We start from the raw sequence: 22,232 nt of genomic DNA on the forward strand, positions 1-22,232 counted from the left end.
AGGCCAGTTCTCCCATCCCTGACATTGGGAACCCTCAGGACCTCGACTGGCCTCACCATCCATGCAGCTTCTCAAATGCCTCCAGCCCCACACGCTGGAGAAGGAACAGCAGCATGAATGGGGAGTACATGGCTTCCTGTTCCTTTGCCCTTTGGGAAATCCCAAATATTTCCCTGACGGGCCACAAGGAGAGCAGGGCCATAGGGAGAGAGGCGGGAGTAGAGGAAGCCAGCCAGGAAACAGAAGGTGAAAGCATCCAGACCCAGGTGGGGCTGGCCAGAGGGACTCCTCAGGGAAGAGGGGAGGGGCAGACCCAGCCACTGGGGAAGGAGTGGGTATCTGTCGCATGGCCACGCTCCATCTCTCACTCGCTGTCTGTGTGACCTTGGGCTGGCCTGTCATGTCTCTGGGGCTGTGTCCCCAGTGAACAAACAGGGAGAGTCACACCTGCCAACCTCCCGCCTTGGGCTGCGACAGAGAGCTAAGGAGACAATGAGTGAGGGCGCTTGGAATGGCAGGCGCCCGATGGAGACAGGAGGCACCATCCTCATCTTCCTTCTCTGCCTAGCGCTGTGCCTGCCACTTGAAGTGCACAGCAGGAACAGCTTTCCCTGGCGTCTGATACAGAAGGAAAAACAGACCCACTTATCCTGCAAGGTGGATCTCGGTCCCACACAGGGCAAGTGAGCGCATCAAGGAGACGGGGCTCCCTCTCGCTCTCCTGTTCTACCATACCCCAGCCTGCTGGAAACCAGGGCCTCCTGACCCCACCGTCCTTCTCCATGCCATGCTGGGGACACAGGAAGAGGCACACAGCCCTCAAAGCAGGGCAAGGCACTCAGGGCCCCTTGGCTAGGCCCCCGGGTGACCACTGACAAGAGCACCCCCTCACTCCTCTGAGGTTATGACCTACTTCTTTCAAAGCAGGCCTGATTGCTGGTGCCAGGGCCTTGGAGAGCTATTCATAGCAAACGGAGGGGGAGAACACAGGCCTGAGCCCGGCAGACAGCAAAGCGTACGGCAAAGTGAAGAGAAGCAGCTAAGCCTTCTGTTCCTCCATTGCGCCATCCTCAGCGTCCAGCAGCCTTGGCAAGATAAAGTGACAAATGGAGCTATTTAGGAGGACACAGAGTCCAAGCCCAAGGCTCCAGGAGGCCTTTGATTGCTAAAGTTTCTCTCTGCCCCTCCACGTGTGATCAAGTCCACAGCAGTGGGCTCCCTCTGCCAGCATCAGAGACCACGTGGTATAATTTCCTTGAAGCCCTGGACACTGTCCCACTCCAGCCATGACCCCTCGCCCCAGCACTGCTAGGCAAATTTCTCCAAGGCAAATGTTATGCTTTTCATAATACAAGGCTGCTGGTGATCTCTGTGCCTTCTCTAGACCAAACGTCACTCTTCCCTCCAACACCAGGAGGTCACTCCTGGACTCTGGTCTTGCTGCTGAGAACAGACTTTTCCTGGATCAGCCCTATCACTTTGCAGTTTCCTGCCTTTTAAACCCCTTGTAAGAGAGATGGTATAAAAGAAGGCATGAGAGACAGAGAGAAAGAGAGAGAGGAACAGATAGGAAAAAAACAGAGAGCCAGCAAGAGAACCAAAATGAAGAGGAGCCAAGTCCATCTCGGCTGAGACCAAGCTAAGTCTGCCAAGTGAGCTCAGGGCAGCAGGTGGATCTGTCTGGAAAACACAAACCCTCTCTGGGCGTGTTTCCTTGGCAGCTGTAGCCTGTTCAGTTGCAGGAAAGCAGCAGCAGGAGACAGAGAGAGAGAGAGACACTTGACCCCCAGTTGGATGAAAAGGTTGCCATATTAAACGAAGAACGTGTAGGTTCATTTGAATTTCAGACAATGAATATCTTTTTTTAGCATAAGTATGTCCCACATAATATCTGGGAAATACTTACGCTAAACAGTTTTTCTTTTTTTTTTTTTTTGATCATTCTTGGGTGTTTCTCGCAGAGGGGGATTTGGCAGGGTCATAAGACAATAGTGGAGGAAAGGTCAGCAGATAAACAAGTGAACAAAGGTCTCTGGTTTTCCTAGGCAGAGGACCCTGCGGCCTTCCGCAGTGTTTGTGTCCCTGGGTACTTGAGATTAGGGAGTGGTGATGACTCTTAAAGAGCATGCTGCCTTCAAGCATCTGTTTAACAAAGCACATCTTGCACTGCCCGTAATCCATTTAACCCTGAGTGGACACAGCACATGTTTCAGAGAGCACAGGGTTGGGGGTAAGGTCACAGATCAACAGGATCCCAAGGAAGAAGAATTTTTCTTAGTACAGAACAAAATGAAAAGTCTCCCATGTCTACTTCTTTCTACACAGACACAGCAACCATCCAATTTCTCAATCTTTTCCCCACCTTTCCCCCTTTTCTATTCCACAAAACCGCCATTGTCATCATGGCCCATTCTCAATGAGCTGTTGGGTACACCTCCCAGACGGGGTGGCTGCCGGGCGGAGGGGCTCCTCACTTCTCAGACGGGGCGGCTGCCAGGCAGAGGGTCTCCTCACTTCGCAGACAGGGCGGCCGGGCAGAGATGCTCCTCACCTCCCAGACGGGGTCGCGGCCGGGCAGAGGCGCTCCTCACATCCCAGACGGGGCGGCGGGGCAGAGGCGCTCCCCACATCTCAGACGATGGGCGGCCGGGCAGAGACGCTCCTCACTTCCTAGATGGGATGGTGGCCGGGAAGAGGCGCTCCTCACTTCCTAGATGGGATGGCGGGCGGGCAGAGACGCTCCTCACTTTCCAGACTGGGCAGCCAGGCAGAGGGGCTCCTCACATCCCAGACGATGGGCGGCCAGGCAGAGACGCTCCTCACTTCCCAGACGGGGTGGCGGCCGGGCAGAGGCTGCAATCTTGGCACTTTGGGAGGCCAAGGCAGGCGGCTGGGAGGTGGAGGTTGTAGTGAGCCGAGATCACGCCACTGCACTCCAGCCTGGGCACCATTGAGCACTGAGTGAACGAGACTCCGTCTGCAATCACGGCACCTCGGGAGGCCGAGGCTGGCGGATCACTCGCGGTTAGGAGCTGGAGACCAGCCCGGCCAACACAGCGAAACCCCATCTCCACCAAAAAAATACGAAAACCAGTCAGGCGTGGCGGTGCACGCCTGCAATCGCAGGCACTCGGCAGGCTGAGGCAGGAGAATCAGGCAGGGAGGTTGCAGTGAGCCGAGATGGCAGCAGTACAGTCCAGCTTCGGCTCGGCATCAGAGGGAGACCGTGGAAAGAGGGAGAGGGAGACGAGGGAGAGGGAGAGGGAGACGAGGGAGAGGGAGAGGGAGACGAGGGAAAGGGAGAGGGAGAGGGAGAGGCAGAGGGAGAGGGAGAGCCAGTTTTTCTTTTTTATCCAGAATATTTATTTAACTGGGCATCCAATATTTTTATTTGTTGGATCTGGCAACTCTGTTTTGTTCTGTTTTGTTTTGTTTTGTTTTTGAGATGGACTCTTTCTCTTTTGCCCATGCTGGAGTGCAGTGGCTCGATCTCGGCTCACTGCAGCCTCCACCTCCCCATTTCAAGTGATTCTCAGCACCCCCGCCCCACCCACCGTAGCTGGGATTACAGGTGTGCGCCACCATGCCTGGCTCGTTTTTGTATTTTTAATAGAGATGGGATTTCACCTTGTTGGCCAAGCTGGTCTCAAACTCCTGACCTCAAGTGATCCACCCACCTTGGCCTCCCAAAGTGCTGGGATTATAGGTGTGAGCCACCACACCCAGCTTGGCAACAGTACTTGATGAATACATAAGCCTCCAGCAAAGGGGAAGAGAGCAGGGCTGAGTGTGCAAAGATCAAGCCACACAAGCAGAAGTCATCTAGATTTGCGTGGGTACAGGTGGACTTTCTATAGGTCACTGGTTCTCAAAGTGTGGTCCGCAGACCAAAAGCATCATATCAACTGGGAACTTCTTAGAAATATAGATTCTCTAGCTCCACCCTATCTCCCTGCCTGGTTCCGGACAAGCAATATCTGAAATTCCAGGAGCAGAGTCCAGCAATCTGCACCTTAACAAGCCCTCCCAGGGATTCTGAGGCAGGCTGAAGTTTGAGAATGTGGCCACCTGCACAGGTTTCAGAGCTGGGCTTGTGGGTACCTTTCAGACCTCACCTCCTAGTCTCAGCTTTAAATATCCACACTTTATGGCTTACCCATAAAAAAAAGCAGTGCTTTGCGCCACAGCCAGAGAAAGCCCACAGTTACGTGGCAAAGAGTGCACGTGTTTGTGTACAAACACACACACACCTATCGCCACGGAGACACACAGTTACACTTGGATACATACTTCCCAGCACTATGCTTTGGTCTTCACCAACAGGAAGTATACAGGAAATTGTTATTAATAAAACCTCCCCTGGTCCAGGCTGTAAACACCTTCCCAAGAGCATACTTTCCCAAATTTGTCTGATGTAGAATAATATTGGGGATCCCCAAAACTTTCCAGTGCTGATCAATACATACTGGTCTGAAGTTCTTTTTTTTTTTTTTTTTTTTTTTGAGACAGGGTCTCACTCTGTCGCCAAGGCTGGGCAGTGGCACAATCTTGGCTCACTGCAACCTCCACCTCCCAGGTTCAAACAATTCCTGTGCCTCAGCCACCGGAGCAGCTGGAATTATAGGTATGCACCACCATGCCTGGCTAATTTTTTTTGTATTTTTAGTAGAGATAGGGTTTCGCCATGTTGCCCAGGGGGTCTCAAACTCCTGGCTTCAAGTGATCCACCCACCTCAGCCTCCCAAAGTGCTAGAATTCCAGGCCTGACTGAAGTTCTCGTTTATCAGGTGATACCTGTTATGTCACTTCCATGGAAACCAGGTTTGTCCTGGTTGCAGAAGTGAAAGAGGAGGGGGAAGAAAGGGAGTTGACATTTACTGAGGACCTACTATGTGTCAGGCGCTATTATCTCATTTAATTTTCTGAACAATCCCACGAAGTAGCATATTTCACAATGAGGACACAGAAGCTCAGAAAGGCTGGATCGCACAGTCACACAACCTGCAGCCAGCACACCAGGCCAGGTACGGTGGCTGACACAAACAAGGGCGGCCACCAGCACTGCCTGACACAAAGGAATGGGGCACTTGAATATTTCATGGAGGGAAAAAAGGGTTTCCAAGAAGTGCAAATTACTCATGATAGGTTTCATAGACAATTTATGGAAACGTGGAGAAAATGGCCTTAATAGCCCCAAGTGCCTCTGGAATGGCTTTCTAACGTCCCCTCTGGCAGTGCAGGCCTTGGTTAAGTGGGTTCAATGTGATGTGACACTGAGAAAAGGGAAAATGAATGTCACCCACATGGCTGCTTTCCCACACCTCCAGGGCTCACTGTGGACAACCTGATCTTCCATCCTTTCCAGTGTCTTCCTGCCACCACTGGTTTCATGAAGTCAAGGACCAACTTGGCTCCCTTCCTTCCTGTTTATTCTTTAACTGTACAGTGGATACTTACTATTCTTTCTGCCCAGAACAGCAGCTCCCCTGGGGTGGGCTGGGGAAGAGGACTTCCTCGTTGGGCCAGATAGTTTTGTTTTTTTGTGTGTTTTTTGTTTTTGAGATGAAGTCTCGCTCTGTCACCTAGGCTGGAGTGCAATGGCGTGATCTGGGCTCACTGCAACCTCCGCTTCCCAGGTTCAGGCGATTCTTCTGCCTCAGCCTCCCAAGCAGTCGGGGCTATAGGCACGCACCACCACGCATGGCTAATTTTTGTATTTTTAGTAGAGACGGGGTTTTACCATATTGGCCAGGCTGGTCTCTAACTTCTGACCTCATGATCCACCTGCCTTGGCCTCCCAAGGGCCAGGTGGTTCTATTAAAGGCTGTATGCCACCTCCTGGGCCCAGGGGGAAACATGACCTGGGCTGGGAAGCCACGGCACCCCTTTCTCCTGGCCACACTGGCCTAGAGATAAGGAAATAATGTCAGCTGGGCCCAACAGGGTCCTTGTCTAAAGTTTTCCTAATGGGGCAGGCAAGGAAAAACATGCTTTTCTTTTTGGTTCTAAGATACAACAGATGTGAACCACAATTCTAGCCTCATAATCCTAATAAGAATACACATGCAGCTAACCGGAGGGAGAAGCAGAAACAAGGTACAAGAAAAGCAAGGGAGAGAGAGAGAACGAGAGAGAGAGAGACCAAGACCTATCTGTACATGAGTCCCTGGGATTCTCCTCTGCCCTTCCTATATTTTATTATGTAAGCCAATTGATTCTGTTTTTATTTTTCTTAAGGTAGTTGGGTCTCTGTCACTTGGAACAGAAACATTCGGCCAGGCGCGGTGGCTCACGCCTGCAATTCTAGCACTTTGGGAAGCAGAGGCAGGCGGATTACTTGAGGTCAAGAGTTCAAGACCAGCCTGGCCAACATGGCAAAACTCTGTCTCTACTGAAAATCGAAAAATTAGCCAGGCATGCTAGCACACACCTGTAATCCCACCTCCTCGGGAGGCTGAAGCAGGAGAACCACTTCAATCTGGGATGCAGAGGTTGCAGTGAGCCCAGATCACACTACTGCGCTCCAGCCTGGGAAACAAAGAAAAAAAAAAAAAGACAGAAACATTCTTGACTACTATTTAGGTCACTCTCTAATTCTGCATGACCTCCTTTGTCCAGGTCCTAAGCAATCAGAAGAAGCACACACTAGAAAGGCCACGTGGGCCAAAAACAAAACCCACAAAGGATCTGTCCAGCCCAAGCAAAAGAGCCAGGACTGCAGGAGTGTTGGAGTAGGCAGATGGCCAGAAGTAGGCAGGCAAGGGGGCCCCTGGGAAATGAAGTCCTGGAGATGCTGCCCACTGACACTCAGCAGAAAAGACAACGGCTATACTGTCTACTTCTGGCCTTGAGATTGGGCTCCTCCAGCACTAAAGGGGACTTATCATGCCACAGCCAGAGATAAACGTGATGGGACTTTCCCCACTGACAAGCATGCATACGCCTCCAATAATTTGCCCACGAGGAGAGTTTTGCTCATTATAATAGTAAAAAAACACAGCCATGCATGGAGATTTTCAATGCCAATGAGACATGTAACACGTAGACTAGCAAGCACAACCCTAGCCCAAAGGACCTCCCGAAACATGCTTGCAAATAACAACACCTCACGCCCCTTCAGGAATAATCAGGTAAGATTCTCATTAAGAGAGTCCCCCAGCACTAGCTGCTGCTGGCTCATTCTTCTGAGCAGCCTGCTCGGTCTTGTCCTTCAAAGTGTGCTGTCTCTTTAAATAAACACTGCTACTGCTATTTTTCCAGCCAGGTCAGCCGGCTGCTCTCTTGGAGCTTACTTTATCTTCCTTCAAGAAACTCTGCTGCTTAACCCTCACTGTGCGTCACTTGGCTGAATTCTTTCTCCCAAGTTATACAAGAATCAAGAATTCCCATATTTCCCAGTAACAGGAGCACTTCAAGGAGAGCAACTCCGAAGACAGATGATGATCAAATTCATGAAAGAAGACAGAACTGGCCTTGGATTATTTCTCCAGCTTAACTTGAAAGGAACGGATCAGACAGACATTAACACCAGGGAAAGCTACATTGCTATCAAAATGGCAAGGATGTAGATCGTGTCAATGTATGAAAATTTAAACATGAAATCATGATATGCAGTTAAAAAGCAGGAGACAATAGAGTTTATGCCCCCCGGTTACAAATGGAGAAAATGTTAAGTTATGAACCAACAAGATTCAGAAGTATATTTCAAAAGATGCTAATAGAAGACACTGTTCATTATGTTCATTTTTAATAAACTTGCCTTATGATTGTAATTATTTCTTTAACTTTAATTGAACTAGGCCTCAGGAATCCAGAGTTATTATAAACAATGATTTCTCTAAGCCTTCTGTTAGAGAAAATGTTACGGGTTCTGGAAGCCTCAGCAAATTCAACTGACTGTCTATCCTAAGACAAAGTGGCTGAGACAGAAAAGCCACCATCTCAGAGAAGACCTGGCTACTCTTTCCTGGGCTGCTCCAGATCCTAGGAACTTGCAGGTTGGAGAAAGAGCCTAGGGCTATCCTGGGAAATGGCCACCAAACCCTTCAGGACACAACCAAGACCTCAGGGGGGCTGCTAGAAGTAGAAATCTTTGATCTCCTCCCACAAGAGGTCCTGACTTCTTCAAGAACCCCTCTACCTAGACCCTGCACAGAACCACACCCAGCCATGAGATCCAATTTCTAAAGTCACATTGACTGTGTTTGAACCTTGGCTCAGCAACTCTTGGCTGTGTGATCTTGAGCAGGTAATTAAAGGAGGCCTTAGTTTCCTCATCTGCAAAATGGAGGTAATAATGCTACTTAATTGCATACTGTCTGATAGGTTTGGCTGTGTCCCCACCCAAATCTCATCTTGAATTCCCATATGCTGTGGGAGGGACCCAGTAGCAGGTAACTGAATCATGGAGGCAGGTCTTTCCCATGCTGTTGTCGTGATAGTGAGTAAGTCTCACAAGATCTGATGGTTATTATTAGGGGCAGTTTTTCTTCACAAACTGTCTCTCTTTGCCTGCTGCTATTCATGTAAGACGTGACTTGCTCGTCCTTGCCTTCTGCCATAATTGTGAGGCTTCCCCAGCCATATGGAACCGTAAGTCCGGTTAAACCTCTTTCTTTTGTGAATTGCCCAGTCTCAGGTATGTCCTTATCAGCAGTGTGAAAACAGACTAATAGACAGTCCTTACAAGGATTAAATGAAATACCTAGTGAACAAATGTGCGTATGTGTGTGAACAGTGCCTGCAACACAGTGGGCACTCCCTCAATGCTCACTGATGTTGTGATTAACATTAGGAGGCTCCACCACCCAATCCTTAGCATGAGACACCATGTAGAAGGCAGGAGCTATGTCCCTTCAAGCCAAAGGGCCATGTTCTCTCTGACCTATTAACAAGCACCTCCTCTGTTAGCATAGGGCCACGCAACAAGGGTTCGTTACCATCACTGAGTGGTAATCGAACAGTTCTCTGACATTGGAATCATTGCTCCATTTTGCTAAGGAAATAGAGCCCTAGAGAGGTTAATTAACTCACAACACAGCAGCAAGGCCAGAAGACTTAGGTTCAAATCCTAGCCACAAAGCCAGTGGGTTTTCTGGTTTTTCCCTTCTGCCGTGCTCTCCCCAGCCCCCAACTCTGCCCAGCCCCCTACCCATCCCCCTGTCCCAGTGTCCTGAAGCCACAGAATAAAGTTTTCTTTCTCTCCTGCAGCCATCCAAGGGAGTCACTGTGGTGCCACCTGCCTCCTTGGCCCCCCCTTGCCATCCAGCCTGGAGCTCACCCAGTGTCCCCTCTCTCCTCTGGGGGAGCCATGAAGGTGACCATGGGAAATGACCTAAGAGGGCTGTGGCTGGAGCACTGAACCCCAGCTGACCAGAAGCAATCAATCAGACCCCAGCCACCAACAAGAGACCAATATGCCACCCAGAGCAGGGGGTCCAAGTCTGCTCTGGAACAGGGTCAGGAGGGCCTAGATGAGACAGAGGCCAACCCAAGTCCACGTGGATCTTCCCACAGGGCCCAGAGATGGGAGCCAAGGCCACATCCTTCTCCTTGAGACCGCCATTGGATACACTCCTTCACGTCCTCCAAAAACACAAGCAGATGGGCAGATCCCCTTCTCTCCACTTCTCTCCCCAATCCCTCCACCTATGTTCCAAACCTCTTATTACTCGGCAAGAGGAGAAAGAATTAAACGTATGCATCATTTGATTTTAATTGAAGGACTGTTCTATTTCATTGAACTGCTAAGTAAGCTGAACAAGAGATTGTGTTTACATAAGCAAACCCCGAGTCACTATAGACTTGCTGTCACATTAAGTCAATACTTATGAAGGCTCTCTATTTAATTATTCAGTGAGGATGACTTATTATTGTGTTAAGAGTGTGGTTAGCCTTGAGCTAGGTAGCCAGCCAGCTGAAAGATTTCTTTCAACTTTCTCTGAATGCTGATACGGTTCTTGCTGGTGGTACGAGGATGGATTTCTTCCCTTTCTCCCTCCCCACCCTTCCCCTCCCTCCTGCTCATGAGTAGAAAGCACCAGGTTTACTCCCTTGAGAAGGGGGTGGCAGGTGCCCCTGCAGTGGTCACTCTCTCAAATGCTCTTCCTAGACCAGTAATTTGTCCGAAGACCCTGACAACTGAAGTCTCATTAGCCAAGTTCTTCTGCTCTTAGTTCTAGCAGCTCCAGCCTTCATTCTTCCCATTCCCAATTCTGAAGACCTCCTACTCAAAGACCCAGACCCCCTCCCCAATTCTGTTACTCCCAACATTGCCTCTCCCTTCAACTTCCACAGAATGTGTTTCTCAGCCTCACAATCCATGCAAACCCTATTATTCCACGGCATATTGTTACAAAGATTCAGAGAGATTCTTGCATCAAATCACATTCCTGACACATAACGTATGGAGAAAAGTCAGAGATGAATGCTTGGCCTAAACTCAGTGGCATTTTAGGCTGAGCATGAACTTCTTCTGAGAGGCAGGAAGCACGGTGGCTGAGAGCAAGACTCCAGGCACCAAATCCCCTGGGTTCAAGCCCCAGCTCTGCCAGTCACAAAGGGTATAGCCTAGGCCAACTCACCTTTCTGTGACTGAGCTCCTCATCCATAAAAGGGGGCAAGGAGTTTCTGGGAAGAGTAACCGAGATTCCCAAGAAGTACCAGGGACCATGCCTGGCATGCCAGCCTTGGCTGTTATGAGGAGCCCTGTGTATTTCTAGTCTAAGTCCCTGAAGGAGAAGTCCCTGGGCTTCCACAACCCATCTTTGCCACCCTGATCCCCATCCATGATCAGGATGTACTGATCTCTCCCATCTCATCTCTCCTCTTTGCCATCCCAACCCTATAGCAACTTCAAACACACACGTTCCCCAGCCGTGACGTTTCATATGCCTTGGTCCTGTGTTGCTTCCCTTGCTGAGAAAGCCTTCTCCTTAAACTTCCTCCAGTTCACCCTTCCAAACCCACCTCAGGTACCAGGTCTTCCAGAAAACCTTCTCTGAATGCCTTGTCCCAACTCTAATCATGTTTCACAAACTCCAGTTATCGCACTGGCATCACTGTATCATAACTTACATTTTTCATATCTGTTTCTCCTATTAAGCTATGAGTTCCTTCAGAATAGAAACCATCTTATTCATGTTTAAAACTTCAGTGCCCAAAGAAATGCCTGACACTCAAAAGGGACTCAGTTGCCACCGGATGGAGGGAGGAAGAGAATTAGTAAGAAAAAAAAAAATGGAGGGGAGGGGAGGGGAAGGGAAGGGAGGGGAGGGAAGGGAAGGGACTGATTGATTGGGACTGTGTCTGGAGGCATGGAGGACTTTCTCTAAGCAGCAGGAGATCTAAGAACTCTCCTAACACCTCCCCTTGAAAAGTAAAATTATAGGCAGATCTTCAGCTAGCAGCAAAGCAAAATGTATCAATGTTTCATTAACTTGAGCACCAAGATAGTTCAGCTCCCAGAAATGCCCTCCAGTGTGTCTGCCTTTCCCCCCTTCCTCTTATCCTGCCCACTGGTGGTTAGAAACTTGGAAAAGTGTCTCTGCTTTCTCTGATAACAGCCATTCACTAAAGGAGGCCCCAGTGGCCTGCGAGAATTAACACACATCCTTAAGCACCACTCTTAACATGAAGAAGTGCCTTGGGGACCTACAGAGGAGAATCCAGTGGGTCCCTGTGGAGGAAGGCTGGGTAGAGTGTCCATTCTCAAACACGCAGAAGGGCAAAGGAAGTCAGAGACGAGGAGGAGGATTTGGGTCAAAACGCCCGCTGCACCTCTCCATGCCTAAGTGGCTGTGATACCCACACAAAAGAGTGTTTGGGAGATGAAACCAAACCACCCTATGCAAAACTAGCTCTGAAAAATAGAATTGGCTGTATACCTGTTTATGATCTTTCTTCTTGGGAATAATAAGAAAAAGGCAGTCCAATTGCACCCAAATCCTCTTCAGCTTTCAGCACAGGACGCAAAGCAGGGAGAAAGAGACTCATGTGAGTACCGTGGGCTGGAGCCTGCCCACCACATCCCAGACCCACCAGGAAGCAGGGAGGACCAGGCATGGCTGGGTTCTGCTCTAAAAAAGCACAGGGCAAATATATTCTCGGAGTCACAGGCTTCAGGGGGCATTGGGCCCTCCATTCCAAGCCTTCTAGAGAAAACTGCGTAGACAAATATTTTTCCTATCAGGCAAATATCTGGGCAGCTATGCCACCACTAGGAGTCTTTCTCATTATATAGACTAATGAGAATGCTGTGCTTCTCTGGAGCAATTTATCAAGGCAATGTCTATTATAAATGACATTTTTCCTGAACTAACAAAGGATGTGAGGCTGGGGGTAACCGGTTAAAAGGAAATGTTTAGCTGATCCCAGAAACCATTCAGAAATTAATTACACACCCCCATGCTAGCCAGTGCTTTTCCCCCTCTGTGCCCTTCCTCCTACTTGGACTCCCTGCCCTGTCTGCCCACCTCCTGGCCACCTGAGCCAGAAGCCAGGGAAGGGAGCCATGCAGGCTCCCAGGAACATAGCGCCTTAGGAGGAGGGTGAAGTCTTAACAGCAGCATCACTGGAGCATATAAGACCAGATTATTTGTGGTCCCAACTTGCTGATGCAAGATGAAAAATACAGCAAACTGCAGCTGCTGAACTCAGCTCTTTTTCTTTTTCTTCTTTCTTTCCTCTTAGCTGAGGTTAGTGTTTCACAAAAGGGGCTTTACAAAAAATAGAATCTATGAACTGTGGGGTTCTAACCTGTCAGCTTAAGGTCAGGTGCACAGAATACAGCATCCAGGGAGGAGAGAACATGGGCCCTTGGTCTCGCCCGCATGCAGTGAGCTCTCCCATGTGTCCCCACACGCAGACCCATACGAAGGCCCTGCCACTCCAACCGATACACGCGTGGCCACACACCCTCAGTGAAAGAGTCCCCTTTCCCCCCCAGTCAGAGGCCCTCTCCCTAATCCCTGAATTATGGGTCCTCTCTATTTCTACCCTCCAACTCCACAACAGGTGACAACGTTAGATGCCCCTTTGACATCAGAGGACTGGGAGCCATGCCCATGGCCCAGAAGCCAAGGCCTCCCCATGTAGGCAGTGCATGCACCAGGGCTGGTTACACAGAGCTACAGTCTTGCAATGAATCACCTCCCACCAATGCCTCCCTACATGGAGTGGGCTGGATAAAAATCAGAGGGGACACAGCAGACCACTCAGGCCAGGGAGAGGAGGCAGTCACTGGGTCCCTCTGGATTCGTTACCAACCGTCTCAAAACCTCTGCTGTAAAGAAATTGAGCATCAGGACCCGGGTGCTTCTGAGAATTTGAACTGCAGCCTCTGGCTTCATCCAAGGAAAAGATAAAGCATCCAGGTAGACTCTTCCCATGGGGCAGAAAAAGGATGGGACTTCTATATAAAGTTCTAACACCAAGCAAGAAGGAATGAGGAGACTCTTAGTTCATCAAGAGTTTGAATGCATTTATCTTAGAACAAGCAGGTTCAGGCATCTGGCAAGGTTCTTCATGTCTTCTACTGGGGTCTCTCTCACCACCCTTCAGGGCTCTGCCAGGAGACAGGATATAGAAGTACAAGGTACCAAAGGAAGAAAAATCTGAGTCTAAATCCAGACACAAGAAAAGGCAGACCCAGGAAGAGAAGGAAGGCCAGCAAGGCCAATGGGACTGCAGAGAGCAGGAAATAGATCCCAGCCACAGGAAAGCTTTCTGGAGAGAGCTTTACAAAAAATAAAAGAGATTCCCCAGAGAGCCTGGATAAATGAACAGAAGCCTTGCCAGGCACCAGGACCCCAGGACAGGGCAGAAGGAGGCCCCTGAGGGTTCCACCACCACCCTCTGATTCTCTCCAGTGGGTGGAAGGAACAGCCCCCCTCCACCCCGCAGGGTCCACTGGGAAGACTTTTGGACACCCCTGGGAAATTTTGCAGCAAGAGGGAGGTCGCCAAGACCACTCACTCGTCCTCTTCTCAACAGGCTAGAAAGTGGGCTGGCCATAAGACCATTGGCCATGCAGCACTTCCTGCAGAACAAACTCCAGTTCCTTCATCCCGCTTGTGCAGCGGGCATCTGGGGTGCTAGGTCAAAGGCAATCTTGGTGTGTCAACCAAGGGGAGTCCCCACAGCAGGTGGCAGAAGACAGAGGCTGACTCAACAGACAAGCCCCAGGGAAGGAAATCAAACAGGGCAGAAGGAATGGACGCTGGCAGAGTAGAGTGTATGGAAAGCCAGAAACCATGGCCCAGGCTCACCAGGAAACAAGAGAGGCCATCTGCCCACAGAGGAGACAATACCCTCAGAGCCACAGAATCTGCAGGGAGAAGAGTGAACCAGGATGACTACCTCTGACCCCAGGCTCTAGGGAACAATCCTCCACTTCCTGCACAGATAGGTAACGTGTCTCAGCAGCAGAGCCTGACAGTATCTCCCTGCAGATGGTCTTGTGTGGGGGGCCTGGTGTTTCTTGGTGTTCCATCTCGTTGCCCCTTGGCCTACCGGAGGTATACCAGATGTCCTTACAGGCAGACTTTCATCCAGACATTGCTGGGGGGTTGGTGCGGGGCTGTTGAGAAGAGCAAGCAGATTCCCAGTATTGCCACGCTGGAATGGAGCACCGTGAGTTCTGATATATGCCAATCTGTGGCAGTGAGGAAAGTCGACCAGTGGCATAGCTAATAGGAGGACTATTCCTTGAATGGCCATTTGATAGCCTCCTCTGCAGTACTAGGTCTGCAAGTAATGGACTGATAAAAACACTGCTGGAAGGCCTTAGACAAAGCCCTGTAAACCAGGAGGCAAACTGGGAATGGCAATTCGAGACCAGATGGTTGGTGATCTGCAAGCAAAGGGTCTGCAGGGGGTGAATTCTCACATTTTAATGAAGGTACTCAGGGCCCTGAGACAATGGCAAGGCCGTGTACATAGAAACAACATAAAGGAGACCAAGAATAATCCCATCCCAGGAGCATTCAGGAGTTGGCAGGGGAAGTGTTAGCTCCCTTGACACCTCCCCTCCAAAGGCCCACCCCTAGGCTCAAATACAGGTAGCACAGGGAATGGCATCATACAGAGTCCTTGATGGTGGAGGTCTCTCTGGGACACATACGATGTCTTGCCTAGGCTGCAATGGCCAGCAGCAATGGGGACCCGTCCTCTAGTTCCTGGACACTGGCACAGTCCCTGGACACCAGCACAATCCTTGGACACTGGCCTTCCCGGCTAGGCCTTCCTCCTACTCACCTCACACTGCAAACCTTCCCCAAACCCATCCTGCTTGAGTGATTGATTTGAAGGGGATTTGCAGGGGGCAGCAGCACACATGAGCATAGGATGTCACCCAAGCTTCCATCTTCAAAGCAGAACCAGCCAGTCTGGAGAGGCTGAGGAGCCAAAACTAATACCAGTTCATCCCAAGAAGATTCCTGACTTCCTCTTGAAGCAGAGCCCTCAGGGCTGGGTTGTTCTGATCGAGCTCCTGACAAAGAGTGAGACCTGCAGACCAGATCCTACTACAAAGCAATCGGCAGCTGTGGTCAGCAACAGCATGCTGAAGGGCCTCGGTGGCTTCAAGAGGGCAAGAGGCCAGGGCAGAAGCCCTTTACAGAAGCCCAGTGAATGCCCAGCCTGGGGCGGGGGGACAGACACCAGTATGCTGAGCCAGCCCAGACACTCAGGCTGAAATCTGTACTTTAGAAACCTGTATTTTTATGCTGTTTGTTTTCTATAATTATTTCCTTTTAGTCTTGCCTTTACATTTACTAAGAGACCAACCAAACTCAAAATAAATAATAATAACTAACAATTTTGAGTGTTTAATAGGCATTTGCTAAGCACTCTAAAAGCATTAGTGCATTTAATCCTCATGAACACCCTGAGATACACAGGTAGTGCAAAATTCCCCACTTTACAGAGAAGGAAGCCGAGACTTAGAACAATTAAATGACTTGTGGCACAGCTGGGAAGTGTGGGGCCTGGACTTGAACCCAGGTCTCTCTGCAGTGCAAGCCCAAGGCCCGCCGGTCCTCTCAGAGGCATGCACATGTTGGGGCTGCTGTTCCAACATGCATCCAGCATCACCCGCTGGGGTTGGGTGTGGTAATGGCAGCAGAATCCGAGCAAGACCCCAGGATGGGGGTGACAGTCACAAGGGCAGAGCCAGAGCTGCCTGATCTTGAACGCTGTGGCTCTCTCCTGAGTGTCCCCCTGAGCTAGGAGCTGGGTTTTGCTGCCAAGAGGAAAGCCAGGCCCTTACAAGGAGGCAGCCCCCTTATACTTGGCCTCTGCCCTCAAAACAGTGGTCTATCTCCAGCACCTCCCTCTGCCAAGAACACCACAGTCATCCCTCACCCTGGGTGGACTCCACCCCACCGTCTCCAACCAGAGCTCTGGCACCCACGCACTTCCTATCCCTTTCCTCAGAAATCTCCCTTCCCATTTCCAGATCTTCCTTAAGCTGCACCTGTGCATCCAAGCCCCTGCTGCCCAGCTCTCAGGGGGTATTAATTGTCATGAAGGCAGCCAGGTACCACCCACCTTAGGGATCACAGCAACATGAACAAGACAGTCCTTCTCTGGCTGGTGACAGCCCCTGGAGAAACATGGGAGACCCCGCCTCACTAGCTTCCTAGGGCAGCTGTAACAAATTACCACAAACTCAGTGGCTTAAAATAACACAAGTTTGTTCTCTCACAGTTCTGGAGGCCAGAAGTCCAAGATCAAGGTGTTGGCAGGGCCTTGCCTCCTCTGAAGGCTCCAAGGAGGGGCCCTTCCTTGCCTCTTCCGGCTTCTGGTGGCGCCCGGCATCCGTTGCTTGTGGCTGCACCACTTCAGCGTCTGTGTCCATCATCTCACCATCTTCTTCCTTGTGTCTCTGTGTGTCCTCCTGTCTTATAAGGACACTGGCCACTGGATTTAGGGCCCACCCTAATGTGGTATGATCTTATCTTAATTACATCTGCAAACACCCTATTTTTTTTTTTTTTTTTTTTGAGACAGAGTCTCACTCTGTGGCCCAGGCTGGATTGCAGTAGCCTGATCTTGGCTCACTGCAAGCTCCACTTCCCCAGTTCAAGCAATTCTCCTGCCTCAGCCTCCCAAGTAGCTGGGACTACAAGCGCGCACCACCACACCCGGCTAATTTTGTATTTATAGTAGAGACTGCGTTTCACCATGTTGACCAGGATGGTCTCGATCTCCTGACCTCGTGATCCACCTGCCTCGGCCTCCCAAAGTGCTGGGATTACAGGCATGAGCCACCGTGCCCAGCCCTAAATTCCCTATTTTCAAACAAAGGCCACATTCTGAAGTTCCGGGTGGACATAAATGTTGGGAGACATTATTCAACCCACTACACTCATCATTCCCCTTCTGTTCCCACGAGGTGTTTGATCTCACTTCCCTCACCCCAGTTTGATTCAGATGCAGGCTGAACCCTCTGTGTGTCCAGACTGAGAGGTCACTCCTCCAAGGACAGGCTTTCGCTCTCCAGGGTCACAGGCTCTGTTGCCATCTGGAGCTGGGCCCTACCTCCCATGGGAGCCAGGGACAGGGCCTCCCTTGCCTCTGCTAGGGGCTCCTCTGTGTAAGAACAGAGGATTGGGGGTCCCTCAAGTGCAGTCCCCAGGCCTTGGGCCCTGTGTGACCCACTGGGGCACAGATCCCAGTGTGCTCCTCTCCTCCAAGCGCTCTGCCAGGGCAGAAGTCTGTGGGGCTTGAGCCTCAGCGCTCCACGCCTGGACACCACCTCCCCATCACGGCCCCCCCCAGGAGACAGGCTGGATGACCAAAGGCATGGTTCGGGTTCCTAGATTCCCAGTGCCCTTTCCCCAAGGCCAGGCATGCTCCGGACCAGGGTTAGACAGGCCACAGTCCGCCAAAACAGCGGGTTGGACGCTACTGCTCCTCGTCTGCCCGCAGACGGCAGCCTCCCCGCTGGGCCTCCCTCGGTATTTGAGGGCCAGGCCAATCATCTGTCCTCTCCTTACCACCGCGGTCTCTCCGCAATGACAGCCCATGTCCAGGGACTGTCTGGATTCACGGAAAATACTTTGATTATTTTCCAGAGGATAAACAAACGGGGGTTATTTTCGTAGTAAAAATGCCAGCTGGATATTAAAACAAAAGTGTGTAGATGCACCGTGCAGATGAGTCTGGGCCGCCCTTCAGCCCAGGCACACTCCTTCTACCATAGGAAGAGTTCTAGAAAATGCACAGGCAGGGGCGACGTCAGAAAATAAACTCCTCATCACATACATTAGGCACATGTTAATAGATGGTAGAAAGTAATTTAGTTTGTTGGACTCCCTGTCCACAGGCCACCACACAGCACTGATTCCAGGTACGGGCCCCAGTGCCATAGGGTGTGCCCGCCCACTGTGGTTCTCAACCCTCACCATGAACAAAATTCCCCAGGGAGCCCAGGACACACTGGATTCCTGGGCCCTACATCCAAGGATTCTGTTTCCACAGACTCCGGGAACCAGGTTTTTTTTTTTTTTTTTTTTTTTTTTTGAGATGGAGTCTCACTCTGTTGCCCAGGCTGGAGTGCAGTGGTGTGATCTTAGCTCACTGCAACCTCTGCCTCCCGGGTTCAAGCAATTCTCCTGCCTTAGCCTCCCAAGTAGCTGGAATTACAGGCACATACCACCACACCCGGCTATTGTTTGTATTTTTAGTAGAGATGTGGTTTCACCATGTTGGCCAGGCTGGTCTCCAACTCCTGACCTCAGGTAATCCACCCGCCTTGGCCTCCCAAACTGCTGCGAGTATATGAATGAGCCACGGCACCCAGGCAAGAACTAGCATTTTCATAAGCACCATGATGGATGGAGATGTGGCGTCCATGGACCACATCTGGAGAGAAAGTGCAGGATGCATGGACAATGCAGCCCTCAGAATAGGCCCTGCTTCAAGTTTCTGCTCGACCTTATCATAAGCCATGTGACCTTGGGCAAGTCCCTTAAAATCTCTAATCCTGCGTCCTTATCTGAACACAAAGAAATTCTAAGAGTGGGGACCTCAAAGGGTTATAAAGGGTACGTATGCACGGTTTGACATGGAAATTCCTAAAATGGTGACACCGTGGCTAACACACAAGAGCTCACTCAGGGTCACCTTAGTACTACTGGATGGAGGGGGTAGTTCTCCTCTGCAGCCTTGCTGTCTGGGGTCTGGACAGCAGAATCGGGCATTTAGGCCTGTGCCCGAGTGGCAGATTCCGCAGTGGTGTCCACCACATGGGGCAGTTCAAGACCAGAGCAGGACGGGGCCAACCCAGGCCTGGAAAACAAGGCAGCCCAGGTGACTCTCTGCTCATCTCTGTCTCCCTGGGCCTTTACTTAGCAGTCATAAACCTCTCCGCCTGGTTCTGGCTGAGCTGTGGGGCATTAGAAAGTTGACAGGAGCCAGGTGTGTTGGGTCACGCTGTAATCCCAGCTACTCGGGAGGCTGAGGTGGGAGGATCACTTGAGCCCAGGAGCTTGAGGCTGCAGTGAGCCGTGATCACACCACTGCACTCCAGCCTGGGCAACAGAGTGAGACCCTGTCTCTATATAAATTTTCTTTAAAAGTGGATAGGCATTCCCACTGGGACCTGAGTATTACAGGGGAGCAGGGCTGCCCCTCCCCTCCAGGCCCACAGGGAGTGGCTGAGGTCCTCTCCAAAAGATCCCCAAGGGGAAGAAGGTCTCAGAGAGTGAAAGCTGGGCCTGGGAGACGCCCCCCTGCCCTTCCTCGCACTTACAGATTTCCCCTCTTCACATCCGCAGAGAAAACTGGGCTTCACTGTCATTAAAGAAGACGGCAGTTTCCTTACAGAAGGAGCACCTACAATGTTGTCAAAATCCACAGACACACACAGACAAGCTCGCAGGGAAATCCCTTTCTCAAGCCCACACACACTTGTTCGCTCACACAGCCTGGTACAAACCCACATTCACAGCCCAAAGAATCCGCACACTGAGTCTCCCCTCCCTCCCACCGCCACCCCCAAAGGGCTTCTCAGAGTCACCAGAGAACGACTCTCCTCTCCACTCTTCCAGACCATGAGAATTAAGGGACCACATCCCGCCCTGACCTGCCTGGAGCTCCTGTTTCTGGGCCTAAGAAGCCCAAATACTAAACCGAACAGCTGGTGGGCCCAAAGGTCTGCTCCCAGACCCAGCAAGCCTGGAATTAGAGAGGCAGAGATCCCACCACACTCTGGGGAATTCAGGGAGGAGGAGGAGGAGCTGCAGGGTGGACCTCGAGGGCCTCTCTTGGTGGGAGGGGGGGCCTCATAAAGGTGTTTCCTGGGTTCTCAGTGTTACGGCACGAGAAGGGACCTTAGAAACCAGGTCACCCGGCCAGGCGCGGTGGCTCGCACTTGTAATCCCAGCACTTTGGGAGGCTGAGGTGGGTGGATCATCTGAGATCAGGAGTTTGAGGCCAGCCTGGGCAACATGGTAAAACCCCATCTCTACTAAAAATACGAAATAAGCCAGGCATGGTGGTGCATGCCTGTAGTGCAGCTACTTGGGAGGCTGAAGCAGGAGAATCATTTGAACCCGGGAGGTGGAGGATGCAGCGAGCCGAGATAGTGCCATTGCATTCCAGCCTGGGCAACAAGAGCAAAACTCTGTCTCAAAAAAAAAACAGGTTACCCATCCTCTCGCAACAGAAATGAAGGAGCTGCAGCCAGATGGGGACATGGGTTACCTAAGGTCACTCCTCGGCCCCTATCTGCACCACAGAGGGAGCGAAGGTTTGAGCCTTCCATGGCAATGCAGAAGGAGAGACCCTCTCCTAATTTTCCCAGTGGCTCCTCATTCTCCAGGTGCCTCTCCAGCACCATCGCCCTCTGTATCTCTCACACATACAAACGCACACAGGTACTACACTCAGAAACACACACAGTCCACACAAGCTCACTCAGACTTGCAGAAGCACAACGCTGGCAGAATGGCCACAGAATGTACAGCCCTCAAGGTCCCACCTCCCAGGGCAGCACGTGCTTTATTAATGCCCTGAGCCCATGGTTCTCCTCAAATCGTATCTTCCCTCCTTCCTTTCCCCACATTTCAGAAATAAGGTAAATCATAGTGTAGGAAGCACAGAATTTGAGATAAGTATTAATTATCAAGATAAAGGAGCAGGCCCAGAGAAGTTCCATGCGTACCCCGAGGTTTCCACAGCGAGACGAGGTAGATTCAGGGCTGGGACCCGGGAATTCTGGCCCCGGGCTCCTTCCCTTCCTCGTGTTGCGGACACTAACTCGGCTCGCGTGTCCCCTCATTTGAAAGGGGCCCTGCCACCATGTGATCCCCTCTTTCTGCCTGATCCTCCCAGCACCCCCATCTAGAACAAGTGTTACTGTCACCACCACCAACTCCCCCAGCGTCACGTGGCGAGGTAGTGACAGCTTTAGCATGACAGCCTCGTCTTCTGAGTCAATGTTCTATGCTGGTGCCATAACCCCACCCACTGAGACCAAATCATCCTCATCAAACCCCAGGACCCACAGTCTGTGACAAAAACACAGGGTCAAACTATGTTAGGTCACCAAGGAGAGCTGAGAACGATGAGGATGTGGCCACGTCATTTAGCAAAGAAACAGAGGAATCTTGGGAGGTCCATCATCCGTAGCCATCTCAATGGCCAACTCTAACTCCAAAAGGCCTTCATATGCCCCTTCTCTCTTTTCCAAAGTCATCTTAAAATATTTTTTTTTTAATCTAAAAGGGCTCCGGCAAAACAGCACATTTGTAGGTCACTCATCTGGCAGCCTGCCAGGAATGAGGAAGTCCCCTGAACAGACAGTATAAAGTTTGTTCATCAAAACAGATCATGAACTCCTAAGAAAATCCTTTGTGCGCCCCCATTAAAGTCTAACGGCTCCTCGTGCATACATAATTCCAACGCGTTCAATTATCTGGTTTTCTGTGCCACAGAAAACCCGCGAAGGAGAAAGGGTGATGGAAGAAAGCTCCGAGAGGCAGACAGAAACTGCAGCAAGAAGTGACAGCAAACAGCGAAGGAGACAGAAATACTAGAAAAGCAAACTACAATGACTCAAAAGTCACAGTATCTGGCGCTCATTAACATGGGGGCCAACAGTTCTATGTAAGTCAGTAGCACCTGAAGGCATGGCGTACACCATCTGTGCAAGTTCACCCAGAGTCAAGAATAACACTGTGTCACCAAGAAAAGGTGAAGGTGTCTTCCACTATCTCTGTTTAAGG

The 22,232-nt window shown here is 50.8% G+C and overlaps 1 protein-coding gene across 7 annotated transcripts in view, besides 1 other annotated feature; it reads right to left on the reverse strand.

Annotated features, from left to right (window-relative positions):
* Positions 1 to 22,232, reverse strand: part of GFRA2 (GDNF family receptor alpha 2) — a 121,948-nt gene that overhangs the window by 19,370 nt on the left and 80,346 nt on the right. The window lies entirely within an intron of this gene.
* Positions 17,192 to 17,693: an enhancer, noted in NCBI's record as "H3K27ac hESC enhancer chr8:21584471-21584972 (GRCh37/hg19 assembly coordinates)". NCBI's record gives its function as "activates a minimal SCP1, AML or CMV promoter by ChIP-STARR-seq in primed H9 embryonic stem cells {active_cell/tissue: H9 hESC(primed)}" and the evidence as "EXISTENCE:reporter gene assay evidence [ECO:0000049][PMID:30033119]".

The sequence above is a fragment of the Homo sapiens genome, chromosome 8 (genome assembly GCF_000001405.40).
Source record: "Homo sapiens chromosome 8, GRCh38.p14 Primary Assembly".
Taxonomy (NCBI): Eukaryota; Metazoa; Chordata; class Mammalia; order Primates; family Hominidae; genus Homo; species Homo sapiens.